Source organism: Homo sapiens, chromosome 4 (genome assembly GCF_000001405.40).
Source record: "Homo sapiens chromosome 4, GRCh38.p14 Primary Assembly".
NCBI lineage: Eukaryota > Metazoa > Chordata > Mammalia > Primates > Hominidae > Homo > Homo sapiens.
In genome coordinates, this window is record NC_000004.12 from 116889604 (window position 1) to 116914972 (window position 25369).

Genomic DNA, 25369 nt, shown 5'->3' on the forward strand with positions numbered 1-25369 from the left:
AATTTAGATACTTAAGGCATGTGACTTTTTAAAATCTTATAAAGAAATACTCAAAAAGAAAATAATAAAAAGCCTTGACTTCCCAGTCAAATTATATTCACAAAAAATCATGCAATACGGTGTAACACATTAAAAGGTAATAGTACTTTTGATTTGAGCTGTCATCTTCAGAGTAGAGCTAACTTTTATTTATGTATGTATTTTTGCTAGCTTTATTAAGGTATATTTCACAAACAAAAATTGTATATATTTATAGTGTATGATGTGATATTTGGATATATGTATATATTGGGAGATGATTAAATCAAGCTAATTAACATATCCATCACATCGCATAATTACAACTTTCTGTGGTAACATTTAAGATCTTATCCCTTAAGGATTAGAGCTAATTTTCAATTTATTTTAACTAAGATAAATAGTCTAATAAAGTCCCAAGGGCCATGACTACAATAACATGGATATATTATGCTTTTACATCTTATTCTCATAAATATGCTTTAAATTCATTTCTTCAATTAATTCTCCATTTGACACTTGGAGGTTACTTTTTAAAAATCTTTGAATAAATTATTTCAAAGCCACTTATTTCTTGTAATTTTTTTGTGACCCAACTTCAAAGATAGGAAAAAAATGATGAAACAAGAAAACACACAGGCAGATATTCTATCAAACTCCAGACAAAAAGACCTCGGGTTCATTTATTCATCTAGGAGAAATCCTGGATTTCTGTCTTACTCAATTCCATTTAAGTCCTATTTATCACAGCTGAATGTCTGGTGATTCAATACTGGTGATAATGAACAGTGGACATGGCAATGTTTGTAGAGAAGAGCTCATTTTTGATAATGTGAGTAATGAGGTAACTTTAAGACATCCAGTTAGAAGTATGAATTAAGTAGTTAGTGAAAAGTATCTGGAGAGTCTAAATTCATTCTATGGCTCCAAATCGTAATTTGCATGTATATGTGTATGTGTGTAGTTTATTTTAGCATGTATATATATTTAAGTATGTATATAGGTTAAATTTATGTATATATATAGGTATACATACGTAATATATAGGTATAACATATAAAACTTAAATTAAGTATGTATACTTAATTTAAGTATGTATATAGGTTAAATTTAAACAAGGTTGAGATTTTATTGGACTACAATCCAGGGAAGCTAAAGGCTGATTGGTAAATTTCCCAAACAGATTTGTTAGAAAGGACTCAGATTACGCTGAGACATGGAGGCACCTGTGTGTTTATGGGCAAGATTCTACCAGAGAGAATAATGAAATAATATACATTTTAGCATGTATATATTTGACTGGAAGGTTTTTAAGGTAACTTGTAGAGCTAACTTCAAAAAACTGAATACAGTAACTATAAAAATATACCATTAACAAATATTTCTTATGGAAATTATTCAGTGGTTAACCTGAGTGTAGAAACAATTTTGTCTGTAACATGTTGCTGATGTTATGGAGAAAAAAACTTTATTTAGGTTTTAAAATGATATGCCAAATATCTTCATACTTCAATAGCATAGGTGAATTTATGTTATGAATGTATTCTTTTCATTGCTGAATTATTCTCTCTGGTAAAGTCTTGCCCATAAACACACAGGTGCCTCCGTGTCTCAGCATAATCTGAGTCCTTTCTAACAAACCTGTTTGGGAGATTTACCAATCAGCCTTTAGCTTCCCTGGATTGTAGTCCAATAAAATCTCAACCTTGTTTAAATTTAACTTAACTCAATCTTTTTCCCAAAATGTACTGTAAACTTTGCTTTTTGTTTAGCAAGAGGCTGCATTTCCATGTTGGGTGCTCCTTTACATGAACAAAAATTTTGAAATTAATTCATATTTTTTACCTTCAAATTTGAATAAACTGTGATTTCCTTAAACAAGTAGGAAACATTTTATTATGCATCCAAGTGGAAATGTAATTTAGGCAATTATATATGAATCTAACATATTGGTATAAAATATAAATTTATAAGACATGAAAATACTCTGGTGTTGAAAGCCAATGCAAGACTTGTGTAAAATTTAGAACTTATGAGGAAGGAGAACTGAGTCTAAAAATTAGATGTGTGAAGAAATGGTTGAGTTTTAAAAAGGTGACAGGAAGGGAGCAAATGGTAACTCACAAATAAAGGTACAAGAGCATGACAGCCTTTTACTCAGAGAAGAAAACATTTTAAAAAGTGATCTGTTGAGTTTAAGCTGCTAAAATGATTAAGCAGTTTATTTAATATGGAGACCATTGGTGACTTTGGTGTTGAAAACCAAATTGCTAGAGCAAAGGCGTGTAATCAACTGTTAACAGAAAAGGAAGCAGAGGATATACATATAGCTGTGAATAGGTTCATGGTTTTTGTAATGAGATAATTGAACAGTTTTCTTCTGATTGTTTTTGTGTGTGCATGGAAAAAGAAGCAAAGTTATCTGCTTAGAATGAGTACTGCGGAGAGGGTTTTGGAGATATTGTAGATTTGAGAAGAATAATGAAATTGTGTTATAGTCTATGGCAGGAGGAAAGTGAGTAGACTAGGGAAGTGCATGAGGTAATGATAAGGGCCCACTTGAGATTTATCATCCTAAATGGAAAGTAATCTACAATTAGCAAGGTGTTATATTTTCCTCCAGCCACCTTCATTGCTTGACTGAATCCAAAAAGAAGATGTAGAGCAGATATTGACTGGATTTAGAGGCTTTGTGTTTTTTGTTTTTCCCTGTAAAGTACACGGTGGAGGGAGCAACAAGTAAGTTGTAATCAGGTTGGTTACAGTTGATTAAATCTAACCATAATGAGGGGAGTGAAAATTGAATTGAAAAATCGAATGGGTTTATAAATTTAGGATTAAGAAGTCTAGACTAATTGGGCTAGAATAATAGACTGACATTAGGATAACATTAAGATTGAAACTAATAGTGTAAAGGTGATGTGGTTATGGCTACTGATAAAGTCTTGGGCATGACAATAGTAGCAATGGGCAGAGGTGGCTTAGAAAAAAAGATAAATGCAGAGTTACAATTCAGGAACTAAGAGTTCAGGGTTTGAGGCTGAGTGCTTCTGTATTTGCTTATATGCAATGTTTAAATTTAATTTAGATTTAAATAATCAAATATTTCTTAAAATTTTGTTTTATTTTATCTTATTTTATTTTTTTATTTTGAGACAGGGTCTCACTTTGTTGCCCAGGCTGGAGTGCAGTGGTGCGATCTCGACTCACTGCAAACTCCACCTCCGGGTTTAAGTGATTCTCCTGCTTCAGCCTCCCTAGTAGATGGGATTACAGGTACCTGCCACCATACCTGGCTAATTTTTGTATTTTTAGTAGAGACGGGTGTCAACATGTTGGCCAGCCTGGCTCAAACTCCTGCCCTCAGGTGATCCACCTGCCTCAGTCACCCAAAGTGCTGAGATTACAGGCATGAGCCACCGTGCCCGGCCAAAATTTTAGTCTGTTAACTAAACTTATCATCAATTAAAAGAAACAAAATCAAAGTTAAAAATTAGATTTATTATAATAAACTTTCTAAGGAAGCTAATTTCTTTTGACCTTTTGGCTGATCGTATATTTTGAATTTAAATAGGTATTAGTAAATTTGCATCTTGGGCAATGACTCTTTGTTTTTTGAAAATAAAATTTAACAGATTCAAAAATAAAATGGCTCATTAATTTGTAGACATTTCTGTATTTTTCACAATATTCCTAAGGTTTTATTTCTTGTTTATGTTAAAAATGAATTCCTTTTGTAAGACATAGGCAGCAAAAAATATTTAAATCATTTGTTGATGAATAATTTACATTTTTTCCACCATCCTGGAAGGTGCTGCCTTGGCAATTAATCTTGAAGACTTTATCATCCTCTGCCCATTAGCATATGATCCATGTTGTAACTAACACTAGAGGGTCCAGATGCAAAAAGTTTATAGTAAATATTGCTAACAAATGTCTACAAAATCTCTGGAATTCTCAAGGCTACTATTTCAAGCAGAAATTGATAAATGAGTAAATAAATAATGAAGAAGTTTAACTCTCCAGCTGGAAAGAAGTTAAAAGTTTGGAGGAAAAAAGATACAGTGTAATCTTTCAATATCCTAACCACTTAATATATGTTAGATTTTTAAAGATTTAGTCTGCTTTGTTGAAAACCCATCTTTATTTTGATTTAATGAAAATATTTTTAACAAACTTTTGAAAATGTACCTATAGTTTTGAGAAAGAACAGATGAATATATGAGGAGCATTGAACTAAAAAATTCATCAGCAAGAAATATTTTTCTTTACATTATTTTAGTAATTACTCTTTTAATGTGTGAAGCAAATTTTTGAATTTAGAAATGCTTTAATTCAAAACATATAAATTACAGTAACTCATTTGTATGATTCACAAATCAAGAGAGAGTTTGAAAATTGGCAGTGGAATTTAAGTATATTTCTGTTGAGAAATTTACCACTGTTTCCTCAAAGGCTTAGGATCATTTTCAACAATTTTTCTAAAACCTAATTTTGAAGTTATAATTTGATAGAATTGTATTAGAAAAATAATATATGCATTCAACAAAGGGTTATTGAACTTGTATTTATGCTACATATGCCAGGCACAGTGCCAGGATTGGAGGATACAATGTTAAATATGTTTTGCTCTCAAGGAGTTTACCTATAAGGTTAGACTCTTGTGGTTCTTAATCTATGAATCTAGGATGACAGAGTACCAGACCTTTTCAATTGTTAATGTGCCTTTTTTCTTTTCTTCAACACATGTTGGTTGCTGGAATTTAGCGCATGTATAGTTTTCAGACTGTGGCTTGGAAGCAATCTAGGTGGCTTGTTCTCTCTAGAAAAATTATACACTTCTAACAAAGGCAGAATATTCATTAAGGGTTTCTTTTTAAAAGAAAACACACACATAAAACAAAACTACAAGACAATGGTAAAGTTCACAACATTAACACAATCAGTAATGGAAAAGCCTAGTCAATGGCAGAAGAGGATAGAACCTAGGGTGGGAAATAATGACAATTTTAAATCATATATCACATCTCTTCTATTTTTGATCTCAGAATCCTGGAAATGAATACTGAGTAAGCAGTAATAGATTCAATGGCAGAGAAGCTTTATTAAAGACTTCAAACACATGAGCAGCTTGTTGAAGCTTAAGGCAGAAGGGTTTTGCCTGGCCAGCCTCATTTCCTCTTTTCTAAAACCTGTCTTCACACTCCTTCCTGTTATAAAATCCTTTGCTCTCTCTGCCAAATGTTATCATCCTCCTCAGTGTGACTGTCTCCAGTGAGGCAATCACAGCCTCTCTAGCAGACCCCACTCTTGGTTAGAGCTAACTGGTCCAGGAGTTGTTCCCTGATTCCAGTGAAGACAAGATTTACTGGAAATGCTGGGACTAAATTGAATTAGTGAATACATCTAGATGTTTAAGCTATGGTTTGTAAATCTTGGGTTGTTTGTGGGTTGTTTCTTGGACCAAAGAAATGGAAGAAGCTTTTTACAGAGAGAAGCATGAAACAAAAGTGCAGAAAAGAGCAGTCAGGCAACAATTCTGTGACTTTTTTTCATTTTTTCCTGGAGTTGGGCCACCTTTTATTGTTCAAGTATCCTTATCTGAAAGCTAATTATGGTTGTTTTCTCTTCCATTCTTTACAAAAGAATCCTAAGTAAATGTAAAGTCAAATGTCTAGGAGAGGCTGGGCACAGTGGCTCATGCTTGTAATCCTAGCACTTTGGGAGGCTGAGATGGGCGGACCATTTGAGGCCAGGCGTTCGAGACCAGTCTGGCCAACATGGTGAAACCCTATCTCCACAAAAATATGAAAAATTAGCCAGGCGTTGTAGCACATGACTGTAATCCCACCTGCTGGAGAGGCTGAGGCACAAGAATTGCTTGAACTTGGGAGGCAGAGGTTGCAGTGAGCCAAGATTGCACCACTGCACTGCAGCATGGGTAACAGAGCAATACTCCATCTAAAAACAACAACAACAACAACAACAACAACAAAAACCTAGGAGAAAGCTCTAGCACATTATAGATATTCAGTAAATCTTTGTTGAAACTGACAAAATTCCTTGAATTTCTGAAGCAACTGAAAATATATATGTAAAGTTTCAATGTATAAAAACATTTATTTTTATACAATTCAGTCCAATATTTTATATAAGAAATCATGATAAAATTGTAGAAAACATATATTAAATGTTTGGACTATTTATTATCAATTTCATTCAATCCTCATTTATTAAACATAAATAAAAGTAAGGAATCTCTAACACGGAGAAGGCACAGAGTCACAATGAATACTTCCCATTCATATAGAAGAGGATCTGGCTGACTCTCTAGTAAGAGTTCACATCTGCTTAACAGGAACAACCTGTCTAACTCACAAAAGGCCAGAAACAAATGAAAACATGATTTCTTTTCTTTTTTTTTTACTTTAATCTCAAATGTATCCCTGATACCAGTCATTTCAGCAAGGATGGCAGCAGGCCTTCCCTACCCTTTGAAAAGCAGCATGGTTGCAGGTGATCTGAACTTGGAATTATAAGCTCCTCTCATGACATCAATAATGGATATAATGTACATTGTCTGAATGATGGTTACACTAAAAGCCCAGACTTCACCGCTACATAATCTATCCATGCAACAAAACTGTATTTGCACTCCTTAAATATATGCCAAAAAAAGACAATGTAAAGCAATCTAATTCTCTAGCATTGGGCATCTTTGTCTGTGTATAAAGAATAAATATACCATATGCTATATTTTGGCTAAGATGCTTGCAACTGAGCATATACCAGTCTGCTATAAATTGTGTGTTGTCGACTGAATTGTCTCCCCCTCACTCAAATTCATATGTGGAATAGAAATATGCCTATAATCCCAGCACTAAATAGAGTTAAAGGCCCTATTTTGAAATAGAGCCTTTAGCGTGGTAATTAGAGTTAAATGGGGTCATTAGAGTGGGACCTTAATGCCACAGGGCTGATGTCCTTATAAAAAGAGAAAGTTACACAAAAGGTATCTCTCTCCCTCTCTCTCTCTCTGTCTCTTTCTCCCTATTCTCTGCAGGCTAAGAGAGGAAAGGCCATGTAAGAACACAGCAAGAAAATGGTCAAACTAGCAAGAGAGGCCTCACCAGATACCAACACTGACAGCACTTTGATCTTGGACTTCTAACCTCCAGAGCTGTGAGAAAATTAATTTCTGTTGTATAAGCAATCTAGTCTGTTGGATTTTGTTATGGCAGCAGACCAAACTACTAGAATGTGTTTTCCAAGTTGTTGAATTCAAGGGAAGTTTGGAGACACTAAAAACAGTGTGCATCCCATTAGCATAAAATGAAACTTTTTAATGTATTTTTTATTTTTAATTGATAAAAAATAATCATATACTCTTGTGGGGTACACTGTTTATTTTTAATATGTAATACCTTACAGAATGATTAAATCAAGCTAATTAACATGCCCACCACCTCACATAGTTATCATATTTTAATGGTATGAACATTTGAAACTACTGCCTTAGCAAGTTTGAAATATATATTACATTATAATTAACTGTAGTCAGTATACTGTGTAATAGATCTCAAAAACATATTCTTCCTTTCTAACTGAAATCTTGTACCCTTTGACCAACATCTCCCCATCTCCCTCCACCCCCAAGCTTATGGTAGCCAATATTCTACTGGCTAATTCGGTGAGTTCAACATTAGATTTCACATATAATAAAATCATGCATGTTTTTTGTGTCTAGCTTATTTCACTCAGCATAATGTCCCCTAAGTTCATGACCTAAGTTGTAAAAAATGATAGAAATTCATTCTTTTTTAGACTGAATAGTATTCCATTGTATGTATGAAATGAAACTTTGGCAAATAATTACAATTAGGTAACTATTCTCCAGTCCTGTGTTTGCTGTGTATTGTGTACAAAACTTCCCAGTGGATAAACATTAGGTTTGCATGAAACATAACTCTACTTATGTAGTTTAATTTCTTCAGGTGAGCATTCAGTCAAATCAATATTTTTCCCATGCACATTTGCCATTTTTGTTACTTTGGTTATTTTCTTTTTTTGTTTTGTTTTATTTTGTTTGTTTGTTTGTTTGTTTTGGTTGCCTTTTAGTTCCATAGATGATGGGTGGGGGTGAGGGTTGTAGTGTCACAGCATTTGATTGTGGGAAATCAAGTTTCTAACCTTGGAGGGGTTCTGGGCAACACTCATTTGCTGAAGTGTCATTATCATATCTGATATTGGCCATACAGCCTACACTGACTTTTAACATCGGTGCCCTTCAGCCAAAATTATGAGATTCTCTTTAGTTAAGACCTTTGGTTTTATTTAGCTAATAGCCACATCTAACCAGGTGGAAAAATCAAGATGCTTCTCCAGAACAGGTGAGATGTGGTGCGCTTGATGAGATTACACAGGTCTCTCTCCTGCTGCCACTTTGTGGGCCTCTCTTTCTACTGCTCTTTCACAATGGCAGCAAAGCTCATGTCTAACTGAAGCAAAGCTCATGTCTAATTGAAGAAAATCATTTCCTGCTACTCTGCCATTGCTCTGTTGGCTTCATCTGCAGTCGGCTAACACTTTTAAGAATTTACCTGCACACAACAATTAGGTATGTTGGGAAAATTTAGATTTTGATGTAATAGGTCTAGGCAGGGATGATGTCTTCACCAAAAACATTAAGCTACATTCTACTGAAGAAGTTATTTAAAAAAGAAGGGCCCTATATACTATGATCATTAATAAAAGCTCTTTTAGGCCAGAAACAAGGTGGTAAGACTCTGTGTTTATTATTGTATAAATTCAACGTCAGTCGTCTAATATCTTTATTTTGACTTAAAGGATTTGAATTTATGTGAGAAGCAAATTTCACACTATAATTTATAAAAAACAATTTTGAAAACAATGGTAATGTTGATATAAAGTTTATTCTTGTAGTCTTTTAATTTCATTAATTTTTCTGATATTTACTAATCCTGTACAATTTTCTGTGACCTTATAAATTCATTATCAAGTGCTGAGATCTTGGCATCTTAGTCAACAAAACATCTGGCATATGCTTGCTCCCTTCTCAACTTATCCACTTGATCTTCTCCCATAAATTTGGAGTTCATTTGCATAGTGCAATTGAATTGCTTAAAATAAAATAAATTGTCCAAATTACTTTAAAATAGAGTAACACATTATTTTAACATGTATTTAACATGTATTTTAACACATTTTAAAATACAGTTGTTATAAATTTGATGAAATATGCCTTATATTTCCCACCAAATTTAAATCAAAGAAATACCTGAATAAATGTGAATGTTATTTTTCCAAAACTATCAGTACTTACAACTATAACCTTTAAAATATTCAAAGCAGTACTTCTAAGACCATGAAAATTAAAAAGAAACAAAGGCTCTTGGTATTTGTGAAAAGGTATACATAGCATCATATAATATGAGATTATTTTTGGTTACGAACCATTCTTCTAGTAAAATTAGAAGCAAAGCTATAAATGTTTTCATGTATTAAGAGAGCAATGGAAAAGAACTTAAGAAATAAATTACCACTTGTTAAAATTATGAACCTAAAGAAGGTAAAAAAAAATTAACAGCTTCACTAATCAAGAGTAAATCTTTGTTTCAAAACATTTCACAAGGGTGAATGGTATATAACTACTGAGGTTGGACTACATATTTGAATGTATACAATTGTTAAAGGGATGATATTTCTACCAAATAATAACTGCATTACATAAAATGAAGCCCAGAACTACTCAATTTGGAGCAGTTGACCCCATTAAGACTACAGATATATATATATATATATTTTATATATATATACATATAAAATCTGCTAGCCCTTTGTTATCAACACTAGCAAAATTAGGTTTCCTGGATTTAATGTTTTGAAATTTAATTTGATCTTTATAATTTCAACTAAATAATTATAAATTATCACCATTTTCTAACTAAATTATCATAATGTATACAAGATGCAACAGTTAATTTTATGTGTCAACTTGAGTAGGTCAAAGGGTGCCCAGATATTTTATCAAATATTGTTCTAAGTGTTTCTGTGTTTTGGGATGAGATTGACAGTTGAATCAGTAGACCGAGTAAAACAGATGGCCCTCCTTAATGTAAGCAGGACTCATCTAATTAGGTGAAGGCTTGAATAGAACAAAAAGGCAGACCTTCTCCATAGTAAGAGAGAACTATTACTGTTTGACAGATTTTGGGCTGGGGCATCAGCTTCTTCCTGCCTTCCAACTCCAACTGTGGCATCAGCTCTTCTTGAATCTCAAGACTGCCAGCCTTCAAACTGAAACTATACATTGACTCTCTTGGTTCTCAGGCCTTTGGACTCAGACTGGAACTGTAACTTGGCTTTCCTGGGTCTGCAGTTGAGCTTGCCAACCCAACCTAAAGGTACTGAAACTTCCCAAGCTCCATAATTGTGTAAGCCAATTCCTCATAATAAATATCTTCCTTGCTCTCTCTCTGTATATATACACACACATTTTATCAGTTCTGTTTCTCTGGAAAGCCCTAGCTGTTACAAGAGATAATAATTGTTGAAATAGCTATTCTAATTATGTACATTATTTGCTTTCTGGAAATGATATTGATTCTTATGTGGTAAGAGTCAGTATTACAAAACAATGCAAAGTCTCCATTTATTCATGCCATTCAGGTTTCTTTGTTGGTTTTATGTTTTTCTTTTTTATTTAGATGCAGATGTTAATTTTTAAAGTTATAAAAACAAATAAAACACACATGCAAATAGGTCAATTACTATATTAAGTAAAAATATAAATATGTAAATATATATTAATTTATATGAGGTTTGAGACATGAAATATAAGTACTTCAAATATTTGTTGAAAAAAAATCAGAAAATAAAGAATGATTTTTTAGCCATTCAAAAATAGAATGTGGTATTTGCAAAAGGAAGGTGAAAACATATGCCTGTGACAACTTGGGCCCAGATCTTAAAAACCTACAAACATGATCCTGGGACCTCCCCATTCTGATGTATTCATTGTGAAAGCTCTGCCAAAGTGATATCCTAGAGATTTCATAAATGTAGAGTTGCTTTACCAACACATTGTTCTGGTATTCATTTTGTGGAGATTTCTGTCCACAAACTGGGTAACCCCAGTGAGTTCCAATCAGGATATTCTCCCCACTCTAATTCAAGACCTTTGACTTCGAAACAATGTCCAAGTTTCAACTGGCAATTTCTCTGGGGATGCTTTAGTCTTGTGCTCAAGAGTCTGTCCAAATATGAGAGTGAAGTAAATGTGTTTATCATGCTGCCAATCCTCATCATTGTTTGCTGTGAGTTTATAAGAAAATCATAAGAAAGATAATGAGAATAAATCCTATTAATCTATTCCTTTTCCAGCCTGAGAGCTTATAAATTCTGAAGGCCTCATCACAGTGGATCCTGGTAGTACTAAGTTGGCTTTGGATCACCTATCAAAACCTAATGAAAGTTGTATTTATTCTTATCTTATTTTGTCCATGAAAGTCAGATAGAGACCTCTCCTCCAAAACTTCTGTCAAACAGAAATTGCAGACTTTTCACACATGCTATTGGACATGACTGGGCATTTGGTTGGGGGCCAAGATATGAGGTATACATGCAAAGCCTTTGAACAACTTTATCCAACTCATGGTTTTTTCACTCAAAACTTAAGACTTTGCTTTTTCTAGGTTAGATCCCTGCTTCATACATATGTTCTTACTATAATGACATTTTACGTAATACTCTACATGGCAAAATTTCAACAAGTATAATTTATAATTACGAAGATTATTTTGGGTTTTGGGAAAATTTTTATATGAAAAAATGTTCATTTAGTAGATAACTTAGAACAAAAAAGGAACAAAATTAGTAACATCTTTATGTATTTTGATTGGTATAAAGAAGCTTCCAAAAAATATCAGATTCTAAAACTGCTTGCTAGCCATGTTCCATGAATTTGTGAAATTCTTAGCTGGTCTCTAAATATACAGAACTGTCTCTAAAATAGGAGCATTGAGTTGTTTAATCATCATCATCAACAACAACATCATCATCATCATCATCATCTGGAGTCAGACCTGAGTTTGACTCCTAGCCCTTCCAGTCATCAAGTCTGTAATGATGAAGTAATATCTGACACTATGTGCCAAGCTCTGTGTGATAAGCACACCACATATGTAATCTCAGGTAATCAGCTCACAAATTCTCTTTGTCAGACAGAAAAACAGAAACTTAAAAGGAAATACATTTTTCAGTTTCTAAATAACCAAGTCTTCCATATGAAGGGATTTGGAGGATTGTGTGAAACTAGAAATACATCTGACAATTTTTACAGTCATATATATGGAAAACAATGTTAAACTGTTAGACAAATTTCTTAGAAAACAAACTTCAGTGCCAGAAAGAAAATGTAAAATCAGCCACAGACAGTGAAAAAAAAAAAAAAAAAAAAAAGAAATGCAGTGTTTAGTGTTCCATCTAAAACACAGTGTGAGGATGTAGATTGGACAATTAAGTAATCATTCTCGCAACTGGCACTTTTTGATGTACACTTACTTTGTGATAATGAAGTGTGTGTGCGTGTGTGTGTGTGTGTGTGTAAAAGGAGACGGAGAGAAAGAGATAAGAGAGAAGGAGAGAGGGAAGAAAAGAATTTCAAATAGGAAGAGAGAAAAAAAACCATATTGCTCTAAAACCAAAAACTAATACACGTACATAACTCTAAACAGCATTTGAAGACAGGTACATCGTGCTGAACATGATTTAGATATTGTGTTACTGGTTTGAAAAATGAACCTCAGCACTAGATTCAAAGAAGCTGTTGTATTCTTCTGGGGTTCAGTTTTGCAGAAAATTGCTCCATAACTTAATTGCATGCTCAGAAAGCCAATTGACTTGTTTGTAAATTTATGCAACTTTTATACCTGGTAAGTCGGGTGAGTGCAGAATGGCAGGGAGGAAGAAAGTTTAATTTACTCAGAGGTATAATTCATGGTTAATAAATTGTAACAAGCATTGGTGAATAAAGAAACAGGTTCAACAAGGACAGAGGCAAAGTGGCTTCATGTTTTTCTATTTTAAATGTACTTAATTATCACAGTCCATCCTCTGAGGGCAGAAAACCATGAGACCACAACAGCCTTTGCCTCTGAATGCCAATGTAAGTAACAAATTACTACAGCTGCAACCAATCCCTCCTTTCTTATGTCAAAAACCTGGTGATCACACACACACTTTCATGTAGAGAGAATAAAGAAAATAAATAGAATATTTCTCTAATTCAGATTTTTTATATCTATAGATAACATGCAGACATCCTTATAAACTTGAATTACATATGCCCTTTTCAAAATAGATTGAATTATCTAAGAATATGGTGAATTGACAGACTCTCCGTAGTCTGCATACATAGTAAAATGGTAATTTGTCAATGTTAAAAACATTGCATGAAATGTAGAATATTCTGTAAAACACATAATAAAATAAACATTTGGGCATAGCATTTTAGGATTGTCCACATACTATGAGGTATGTTATTATTGTCTCTATTTTTTATTGTTGTTGTTGACAGGACTAAGGTTCAGAAAGTTCAAGAAACTATCAAAGGTTTCACTGTAGTGTGTACCTAAAATATAAGCACAGGTCTGCCCAAGTCCAAAGTTCCATTATCTCTTCATTCATTTGCCTGGCATGCAATAAGAAAAAAGACAGGATTCTATGTGCATAAAGCAAGATTTAGTCCCATACCTTGACTCAGCAGTTTTCAAAAGAAAGTCACCCTGGTGGAGGAAGGGATGGGAAGTACAGTGATTCAGTTTGTCTATTTAGATGTCTATCTCGGAGCAAAATCATTGAGTTCCTCAGTCATTAGGCCTTCATTTGGCACCATGGAAAATGTATTTTGTTCACTATGGTTTCTCTAAACTATTAATTGAAAAGTGTGTTAATATTAAGGACTTCACACATGTATTGTGCTCTGCTTGAAACAGTAATGAATTCTCTCCCCTCCCCGCAAAAGCAATATATTTTTAATCAAATAAAAGCATATATGTAAAATGCTACATTAAGCGCAATGTGTAATCTGGAACTTCAGATGGCTCTGTTTCAACACTTAGTTCGGAATACATGGCTTTCACTAAAAATAGTAAGATGAGGACTTCATTCAGTCTCTGTCATTTCTGTTTTATTTGCTAATGTTCATTTCTGATTTATTTGCTAACATTTAGGTCATGACCTTGAAATGATTCTGACCTTGTTTCTGTTTTATTCTCAGCTTTAATCTCTTTCAGTAAATCTCAGGTTATCACATCCAGTTCCATGGATTTAAGTAACATTAATACACTAATGAGTCTCTAACTTCTCCTTCAACTCTATACATGTAGATCCAATTGACTTCCCATCTCTACCAGGATGTCTCAAAGGCATCACAAACTTAAAATGCTCAACTTGATTCTTCTCTCTTTTATCATACTTAACATGTCCAAAATTATTTTTCTCCCTTAATCATAACTAATACCTACCATGAGCCAAACACTAGTAATAAGTACTTTTCTTGCATTAACTCCTTTTAGTCTCAGAGCAAAACTATGAGATGGGTGCTATTACAGTTCTCATTTACACATAAGCGAACTGAGGACGAGAGAGGCTAAATAGCTACCTCAAAGCAGTTAATGGTGAAGAAGGGAGGTCAACTTGGTCTGATCTAGAGTCCATGCTGACAACCAAAATGAGTGACTGAGGCAGATGTCCCAAACAATCAAAGTTTATTGAGTCATGCCTGGAAAAAAAAAGAAAAAAAAATTCACCTCTATGACTCTTTTTCCAAAAGTTTCTTAGGAGTTTTGGTACTTATACATTTTTCTTAAAAAAGGTGGGGCAGGCGGGGTAGGATTTGGGCAGCAGTAAGAGAAATGGTAACATATTTGTGAGACTTTAGTTAGTGCTTAGTAAATCTACATTTTAAATAAGATAAAATGGGAAGAATAAAAAAGGGAATAGAGGAAGCAGATGTTTCAAAGAGTTGTGAGGGAAAGATTTATCTTGTCATGCCTTTGTTCTGTACCTGGGAATATAAGCCGGTAATAGACATTATTAGTGTGAAGCCCTGTGGAAGGGCTGCTTCTGTCTGGCTCATAAGGAAGAAAGCCTAATGGTGGTTAGTGATGGAGGGGATATAATGAGGTTTGTCTCACCTCCTCTCCTGTCATGGCTAGGAACTCAGCTTCCCAGGTTTTGCTGGGGTCCCCTTGGCCAAGAGGAAGTCCTTTCAGTTAGTTGGAAGCTTATAACTTAATTTTTATTCTCAATGTCTTCAAAAATGACCCCACAATTCAATGCCTCCTGTAGTCTCATCTTCCTAAGTGCAGCAACTCTACCACCCACCCTGCACTCAGAGCAAATCATATTTTTCTATCTCCCCACATAAAATTATTCAGCAAGTCCTCTCAGCTACATTCCCAAAATGTATCTCAAACCTCGCCCTTCTAACTATACTTACTTGCCTGCATTATCATTTCATAGCTAGTGTACTGCAGTAGCTGCCTAACTGAGCTTCCTTCCATTATTTCCTGTAGTCCAGTCTCCGGATGACAGCCAGTACAATCAGGCCTATTCCTTTCATGTCAAGGACCCCTTAATGGCCCTCAACTGAAATTTGAGTAAGAGCCAAACTTCTCTCCATGTTCCTGAGATGATCTGGTTCCTACCTACCTTTCTGGGCTGACCTCACCTGAAGATTCCTCACATTTACTCTTCTCTACCCACACTGACCTTTCTTCTCTCTCTTGACCACAGCAAGCTTGTTCCATCTTAAAGTCGTTTCCCTTTGTACAGAACTCTCTTATCCCAGAATTTCGCATAATAAATTCTTCCCATCTTGCAAGTGTCAACTCAATTTCTACATCAAGGAGCCTTTCCTTAAGTACTTTCTTCAAAGCAGCGTGCCCCCATGCCCTGCCCCCAATGCACAGTACCCCTCTGTATCTCACTAACATATTTGTGTTCCTATCCCATCTGAAATTATCTAATTTTTTTCTTTTAAATTAATTGTCTTTCCCTATAACAATATAAAGTTTATAAAGACGGGGACTTCTCTGTGTTGTCCATAACCCCATAATCATCTCCTGGCAGTGTGCTTGGTACACAATATACATTCAAATAGATTTTAATAAATGAATGACACAAAATAATAAACTTCTGCTTCTCTTTCTCTCCCTATAGACAGACACATCACACATACATACACAGACACCACACACACTTTTACTCACTTTTAAATCTTTTCAAATGTTCTTTTCATTTCTTTTACCCCATTTGTGGTATAATAATAATTTAAAATAGCTTAACTTTACTGAGGAAGTATTTTTAGTGTCATGTATATAGACAACTGCCAACACATTGTAAGAAGCTTAATATATGATTCAAAAATCATCCCATGTGTGGTATCCACTTGTATTCATTCAGAACCAGCCACAAAACTATCCATAGTAATGTCATTTTCTTCACTTATGTATGTGCATATATAAGTAAAACATTTTTCCAAAATAAAATAACTTAAATATATTTTCCCCTAATAAACATAAAAGAACCAATATCTTTATATTTTTCAACCATATTGAGTCTGTCTCATTTAAGTCAATGTTGCCTTTAATGCAGCACCTCTTAACAATCAGAGCCATAAAGATGAGCTTATTAAACATGACAAGTCATTTCTAAATTTACCAATCATTAAGTCTGAGTTTGGGAAATTTAAATTACCAAAAAGTAGAAGAGGTAATTCTCTTATTTGTGGTTGAAAAAAAAATTAAAAACATTCTCATGTTGAAAGTGATTAAATAAATCAAAACATTCCTTGTATATTTCTTCAGAAGCAACCATTGGCAAAATGTTAGATTGTATCTTTAATTAAAAAAATAAAATGACACTCTGATATTTTGTAAATTTTTTTAACTCCAAAACACATTGTTTCATACTAGATACTCTTTTCTTTTTTTAGACAGAGTCTCCCTCTGTTGCCTAGGCTGGAGTGCAGTGGCAGGATCTCAGCTCACTGCAACCTCTGCCTCTCAGGTTCAAGCAATTCTCCTGCCTCAGCTTCCCAAGTAGCTGAGATTACAGGTGTGTGCCACCACACCCAGAAAATTTTCTGTATTTGTGGTAGAGATGGGATTTCACAGTGTTGGCAAGACTGATCTCAAACTCCTGGCCTCAAGTGATCTGCCTGCTTTGGCCGCCCAAAATGCTAGGATTACAATCATGATCCATCATGGTTGGCCAATACTAGATACTTTTAATATCAGTGTTTTCGTCTTGTCAGCATCAAATAGTCATTTATGAACCACTTTATATAACACAGTTGAGTAATCTGAGGAGTTAATTTATAGTTAGTAATGCTTTCACACTTCAGAGGTACTCCATAATTGAAAATAAATTTTGTATCTGTGAATGGCTTGAGAGCATTGATGTGGACTAAATAACCCTACCTGGTTTCTCTTAATCATGAGGTTGTATTGGCATTGTGTCAAGTTGTTAGTACAGAGTATTGAGAACAGAGTCTCCTGGGTGTCTGCTGAGGGCTGGAACTCTCCTCAAGGTTGGTGAATGGCCTCATGTCACTGGTGTCCAATACAGACTGGTCCTACTTAGAGGAAATGAAGACAACATTCAAGAACAGATGAGTAATGTAAGAAGATAAAGGGAAATTCTGAAAAAATAACCAAAAGTAATGCTAGAGATAAAGTGGATAGTAACAGAAATAAAGAATGCTTTTGATTAGCTCCTACATTACTTGGATTGGCTGAAAGATACTTAGGAAATACCAAACTATGTGGAGAGTAGACAGCATATTTCTACATAACACATAGGTCAAAGAGAGCATCTCGGGAGAAATTTTAAAATAGTTTTGAACTGATGAAAACACAGCTTATCAATATTTGTGGGATGCAGGGCTTAGAGGGAGATTTATAGTATTGAATGCATAATTAGAATAGAAAAAAGATCTAAAATCAATAATCTAAGTTTTTACCTTAAGAAACTAGAAAATGAAGGACAAATTCAATCCAAATAAGGCAAATAAAGGAAATATAAAACTTTAAATATTAATATTAGAGAAGAAATCAATGAAATTGAAAATAAAGAATCAATAGAGAAAAATAATACCACAAAAAGTTGGTCCTTTGAAAAGAAAAATAAAATCAATAAAATTAATGCTTCTTATCTCAACAATAAGAAAACAAAGAAACAACTCAATTAAAAAATGGGCCTATCATCAGGGCAATGTAAGCTGAAACAACAATGAGGTCACACTACACACTTATTAGAACACCCCAACTTCAGTACAGTGACATAACCAAATGTTGGCAAGGATGCGGAGCTACAAGACAGGAACTACCCTGAAGGTTGGTGAATGGCCTCATGTCACTGGTGTCCCATAGATACTGGTCCCATTTAGAAGAAATGTAGACAACATGCAAGAAGAGATGAGTAATATAAGCATTAAGTGGAAATTCTGAAAAGTAACATTCATTGCTGATGGGAATGCAAAATAGTACAGCCACTTTGGAAGACAGATTAATAATTTCTTATAAAATTAAACATACTGTAACCATAAGATTCAGAATTCTCCTTAGTATAAACTCAAAGGAGTTAAATACTTATGTCCAAACAATAACATGCACGTGGATGTTTATTACAATTTTATTCATCATTAACAAAACCTTGAAGCAAGGTGATAGATGAGTGGATAAAGAACTGTCATACTTTCAGACAGTGGAATATTACGCAGCATTTAAAATTAATACACTCCCAAGCTATGAAAAGACATTGAAGAACCTTAAATGCATATTAGTAAGTGAAAGAAACCAGTCTGAAAAAGCTAAGTACTATACGATTCCAACTGCATTACATTTTGGAAACAGAAACACCATGGGGACAGTAAAAAAGATCAGTGATTTCCAGGCTATGGAGGCAGAGGTGAGGGGAGACTGAGAGAGACTGAGAGATAAATAGGTATAGCACAGGGAGTTTTTGGGAAGTAAAACTACTCTGAATGATACTGTAATGGTGGATACATATTATTTACACTTGTCTGAACCCATAAAATGTACAACAAGAAGGACTTCTAATGTAAACTCTGGACTTTGGATGATTATGATTTTTTAGTGTAGGTTCATGAACTGTAACAAATGTACCACTGAGATGGGAAATAATGATAGTGCAGGAGTCTAGGCACAAATGGAGTCAGGAGCAATATGGCGACCTCTGTAGATTCCTCTTAATATTGCTGTGAACTTAAAACTGCTCTAAAAAATTATAAAGACTAAAAAATATACCAGATCTGATAAATGTGTTTTCCTCTCCCACATAATCCTTATTATGTACCCAGAGCAGAATATTAAATAGACCAAAATTCTTTAATTATATTGTAAAATATTTTCTCAAAGCCAGTACAATGTACTTGTTTATTATGATGACTTCTTTTCAAAATATTGCCAGGTTATTTTGATTAAAAAATTATACAACATTTCTGCAAGATTTTTTCCAGGACATTTTAAATCCAATTCAGGCAGAACAGATGAGCCATCTTCCTTATGACAGCAACTAGTCCACTAATTCTACTTTTAAAAAGCTTATTGTCAAAGCCATTCTGTTCATTTACTCTGAGTAACAAGTAGTTTGCGTTGCCAGTTGAACTCCAGCACATTTTGTTCACATAATAAAGTAATAGCTTTTATATGGATTGTTCTAGTGTCACAGACATCATACAACTCCAGGTGAGAAATAGAAAAGATTGTGATTGATTAGATCAAAGTTCAATGTTTCAATCAACTAGTAACTTCTATACACAAGTTTATTTTTGAAAAGCTGATTCTACATATTTCGGATTAAAAAAAAAAAGGCAGTTGGTTGATAAAGATGAAGAAGTTCAATGTAAAGGAAGAGGAAAGAATAGAGAGGCTAATTATCTGACTTTCAAAACAATTTCCTGTAAGTAAAAAGTAGAAAAAATGTTTTGTTTTTTTTTTTTTTCTGGGGGCAGGGGTATTGCCAACACCTTTCCACTTATGCTAAAAATCTGGAAGTAGTTATTGATTATATTACTTTACTCAACATTGCTGTGGCCAGGTTAGTTCAGAAAGACAGGAGGAACCCACCTCCAAAATATGGTTTGTATGTAGAGATGGATAATATGACATATATACACTAAGAAATTATAAAATCTTTATTACTTTCATAAGACGTCTAGGGGAGACTGGGCCAAACCTTCCAAAACAGTTTAAGAGGGCAAGAAAACCAGACTGATGTGAGGCTTTTATTGTGGTTAGGGGTAGGCTGGGGTGAGGATTTCCCTGTGCAGGCAGGAGCATGCATGTTTTGAATCTCGTTTAGGTACGAAAGGGGAGTACTTGGGCTTCCTTATCAGTTTTCCCAGATATAAGCCACAAGGAGAAGAGATGGGGGTGAAGCTTAAAAGCTGTCGGCAGTCAAACATCGAAAATAGAGTTACATGGACACAGGAAGGGGAACATCACACACCGGGGACTGTTGTGCGGTGGGGGGAGGGGGGAGGGAGAGCATTAGGAGATATACCTAATGCTAAATGACGAGTTAATGGGTGCAGCACACCAACATGGCACATGTATACATATGTAACAAACCTGCAAGTTGTGCACATGTACCCTAAAACTTAAAGTATAATCATAATAAAATAAAAAAATTAAAAAAAAGAAAATAGAGTTAGACGCTTTATTGCAAATATTATACACAGAATTGCCAACATGTTCTTCCAATGTTACCACTAATTTTTATCCCTCCTTCATACTTAATATTCCTATTTTAGTTTCAAAAAGTTATTATCTTTGTTTGAATCTCTGTAACAGGTTCCTAATGTTAAAAGAAAAACTTTAGAAAAATTAAATTTAACAGTGTTTAATTGAGGAAAGGACAATTCAAGAATCAGGCAGTCACATGAATCAGAATAGGTTCAGAGCAACTCCCTGAGGCTGCCACACAGTCAGCTAACATTTATGGACAGAAAAAGGAAGGTGATGTAAACAAAACCGAAATGACTGGGTGCAGTGCCTCATGGCTATAATCCCAGCAGTTTGGGAGGCTGAGATGAAAGGATCGCTTGAACCCTGGAGTTCAAGACCAGCATGAATAATATATCAAAACCCTGTCTCTAAAAATATATATTTTTATAAAATTAGCTGGATGAGGTGGCACATGCCTTTAGCCCAGCTACTTGGGAGGCTGAGATGGGAGGATCACCTGAGCCCAAGAGCTGGAGGCTGCAATCAGCTATGATCTCAACACTGCACTCCACCATAGGTGACAGAGCAACATAAGTTCCTTTCTTTAAAAAAAAAAAAAAAAAAAAGGAAAAAGGAAACAAGTGATGTAGAGAAACAGCTGGGTTGGTTATAGATCAGCATTTGTCCTCTTTGAACATGGATTTGAACAGTTGGTCACCTGTGATTGCCTGAAACTCCTGTTCTGTGATTGGATGATACTTGGCTGCTTGTTACAAGAGCAGGTTACATTCTGTTTACACATCCAGCAGTAAGGTTACAGTTCACTGTGTATGGAGAAACTTTTAGGCTAAACTTAAAATATTAAGGAGGCAGCTTTTGGCTAAACTTAACACTCACCCTATTAACTCTACTCTTGCTTTCAAATTCTATCACTGATGCACAGTTTCCAGAACAGAACGAGAACTCCACACAGCACTACCTTCTTCAGACATCATTTGTGCTTAAATAAAACTAAAAAGACACATTTAGCATCCAACTTATTTATTTATCTATCCATTCCCATCTATTCATCTGTAAATATATCTCCCTTTAAAGACATAAGCAGTTTAAGATTGGAATCATCTCTTACTAATTATTGCAAATTGTTAATCGCCTCTGTGCCTCGCACATGGAATGGCTATAACAAATGCTGAACACATGAATATGTGGGGCTCAGGACTATGGAAATTTCAACCAGAAGCTCCTTTTTTCACAGAACTAGTTTTCTGAGATACAATCAAATGTGTAATTTCGAATTAGATTTAATCATCAAACAATTCAGAACATAATTTTTCAGTCTTTATGCTACTTACAAAATATATTTTTAGAGAATGATGAGCAGGTGTTAAAGTATTTTACACATGTTAAATTCCTCCTAAATACGTTTTGTAGTTTTTTTACATTACACACTCTTAGGAAATTGCTTCACTTCCAGAGCCCCAAAAGCATTGTCTCCTTTGAATAAGACTGGACTCATAGTTGAGTTTGCATAAAAACTCACTAATGCACAAGTTATCTTCTCTAAAACTAGTAAATACTAGCATACGTATACAAATTTTAAAAGTTGCCAACAAAATTTTGAAATGAAAATATTGGACAGAAAATTATATCTATTCTTATTTTTCAAGCTTTTGAACCTTTAGTTCAACTGCATATATAATACTGGATTTCAAAGAAAACAAATATAACTTCTTTATTAGTTATTTTCTATTATGTTAAAGGAGAGAAACTAAAATATTGAGAGTATATGGAGTGCTTTTTTCATCATTTACACACAAATCTGGTAACCTGGAATGTATTCTTAGTTTATTTAACAAACTTATTTAACATTAACATCACAAATGTTTGGAAGATATGTAATAATTAAATAAAAAGAAAGTGCATCATTAGCAAGATGTAATTTTGCTCTCTGATTTGGTCCTATATACTCTGCCAAATTGAAAATCTGTCCAGAACAAGGATTAGGAATAAAAAATTGTTGCTTTCATTTGTGAGTAAGCAGTATGAATGTTAAAAAGAAAATGTTGGCCAGTAATTTGAATTGAAAATTAAGATAACTGTAGGTAACATTTAATTTATATTTTACTAATAATAGAATACCAGTTGTTTTGCAAGATAATACATTCAAAGTATTAAACATCTTCAAATAATTGTTTTCTTTACAGTCAACAATTTTACATGATGAGAAATACAATGTAATTTACATACAGCACTATGATCTTCATATGTGTTGTCATACAGTGTTTCACTAATTTGGAAAGTCATTTTCAATCTTCACATATGTATGTGTATAAATGTGGGGTTTAGGTGTGTGTGTGTGTATATATCTCTCTATTTAAGCTCATTTTAGAGTTCTAAAATAATATGACATAAAATAAATGGCATATTTGGTTTTCCAAAAATCTAACAGGTTAAATAACTATTATAATTAAAATACAATTGTCATTAAATCATTCACCTATATTTCATATTTAACCTTACTAGGTAAATAATATGCTTTGAAGATAATTTCCTCAAATAGATCTTTAATAAACAGCATTCATGTTGTAATTATAGTTCCACATAGAGAAGAATTTTAGAATTATGCTCCATGCTGCAATACTGCTTTGTTTTTAATAATGTATAAATTAGTACCTTATTGTCATTGGTGATCATTGCTTTTTCCTTCCCTTCAAAAATCACTGATGTCGACAGCAATAAACCTGTGGACATCGTTGTGTTCTTACCTCAGAGGGAGAAGATAGCATCTATGAAGATGCTTTATTTCCAACCAAAAATTAAGTCTCCATAAAAAATAATTCATAGAAGTCCATCATAAAACCTGATGTGTAATAAGAGCAAATAATATGTTTTTAGATATGGGTTTTTTTAAGGAAAGTACAGTATTGTGTAAAATAGTATTTTAAATGTGTTTTTTTTTTAAATTACCAGAAACAGTTAAAATTTTATGGAATATCCCTTTATGCTATAATATAGAATCTCTTTCAAGTTTCATGACTTTTGAAAATTAACAGAAGTTTCTAACAGGTAAGAAATTTGGAGCTTCTTAAGGTGAACTATATTAGAATCTTGCATTTTTCATATTAACAAATCCCTATATTATCACATATTTCTTAATCATCTTCTTTGATGGCCATGAGAATATATCTCTCAAATAATTGTAGGGAATATCATTGACTGACAGTCCCAGCTGCTGAGCTCTGAAATGCATCATTGTATTTGTAGCAGTCACAGGCTGCTGCCAGCTAATGACTAAACATGGCAGGGAAAGTAATGCTTGGTGTTTCTGAGAGATTCAGATTTCTGAAAAGAGTCCGACTCAAATTCTCTCATATGGTTTGGCTGTGTCCCCAACCAAATCTCATTTTGAGTTATAATCTGAATTGTAATCCCCAGGTGTCATGGGAGGGGCCTGGTGAAAGGTGATTGGATCATGAGGGAGTTTTCCCCCATGCTGTTCTCATGATAGTGAGTTCTCATGAGATCTGATGGTTTTACGAGTGACAGTTGCCCCCTCTTCTCTTTCCTGCTGCCATGCAAGACGTGCCTTGCTTCCCCTTTGCCTTTCCCCATGGTTGTGTTTCCAGAGGCCTCACCAGCCAGGCAGAACTGTGGGTCAATTAAACCTCTTTCCTTTATAAATTGCCCAGTCTTTGATATTTCTTTATGGAAGAGTGAAAATGGACTAAAACAGTCTTATTGAGGATTCTCAAAATCTTGATGACCTTTTCTTATGATTATACTGCAGTTCTGGGTTAAACAGGCATCACAATTTGATGGCTCTCTCATCCTTTCTTATTCCCCTTTCTCAATTGTCTCTCACTGGTCTTTCCAATAAAAAGTTCCCTAAACAATTTGATCCCATTTCGATTTCTGCTTTTCTAAGGATCGAGATCACTATACATGCTGTGAAAATTGTCAGAATAGAAATGGAGTCACTTGAGTTAAAAAACCTGACAAATAAAGCTAGGGAAGGCCATAAAGGAAGGGTTCTCATGCACAAATGCTTGAGAGCAAGAACTATCACATAAGACTGTGCCAAATTCCACAAATTTGGACAAAGGCCATCACAATCTTAAACACACTCACATTTCCATGAGGAACTCTGCCCAGCAATTGCCTGTCCATCCTCTGACCGGTGCCATCCCAACACTGATCTTTGCAGCCAAAATAATTATCTCAAACAATTATGTAATACTCCTCATTTTTTCTTTAAAAACCTTTGTCTTCCTTTGCCTCCTTAAATATGCACATAGTTACTATAGTACTCATGTCCCAATTGCAATGCCTATTCACATTGTTTGTAGAAAGCTTCCTATCTACTTATTACATTGTTGCCAGAAATGGAAGTGAAGTGAGCTCACCTCAGTTGGATTGGTGGCCCCTGGAATTGTGTGTGGTACCTACCAAGTTTTTGTGCCTTCTGCTACTGTGGATCACCTTTACTGTCCTGGTGAATCTCCTTAGATTCTTGTATCTCCTCCCTTAGTTTTCTCAATTTATTTTGGATTTTATTTGGGATCTGATTTTGTTAT

At 34.3% G+C, this 25369-nt stretch overlaps 1 long non-coding RNA gene across 4 annotated transcripts in view; it reads right to left on the reverse strand.

Moving 5' to 3' along the window:
- The window catches only part of LOC107986306 (uncharacterized), a 201750-nt gene that overhangs the window by 138654 nt on the left and 37727 nt on the right, over positions 1-25369 (reverse strand). For all 4 annotated transcript variants that reach the window (XR_001741797.2, XR_001741800.2, XR_001741798.2 and 1 more), the window contains 2 exons: positions 17526-17680; positions 14702-14821 (listed from right to left, as the gene is read on the reverse strand). This is a non-coding gene — a long non-coding RNA (uncharacterized LOC107986306). The remainder of the gene's footprint in view (positions 1-14701; positions 14822-17525; positions 17681-25369) is intronic.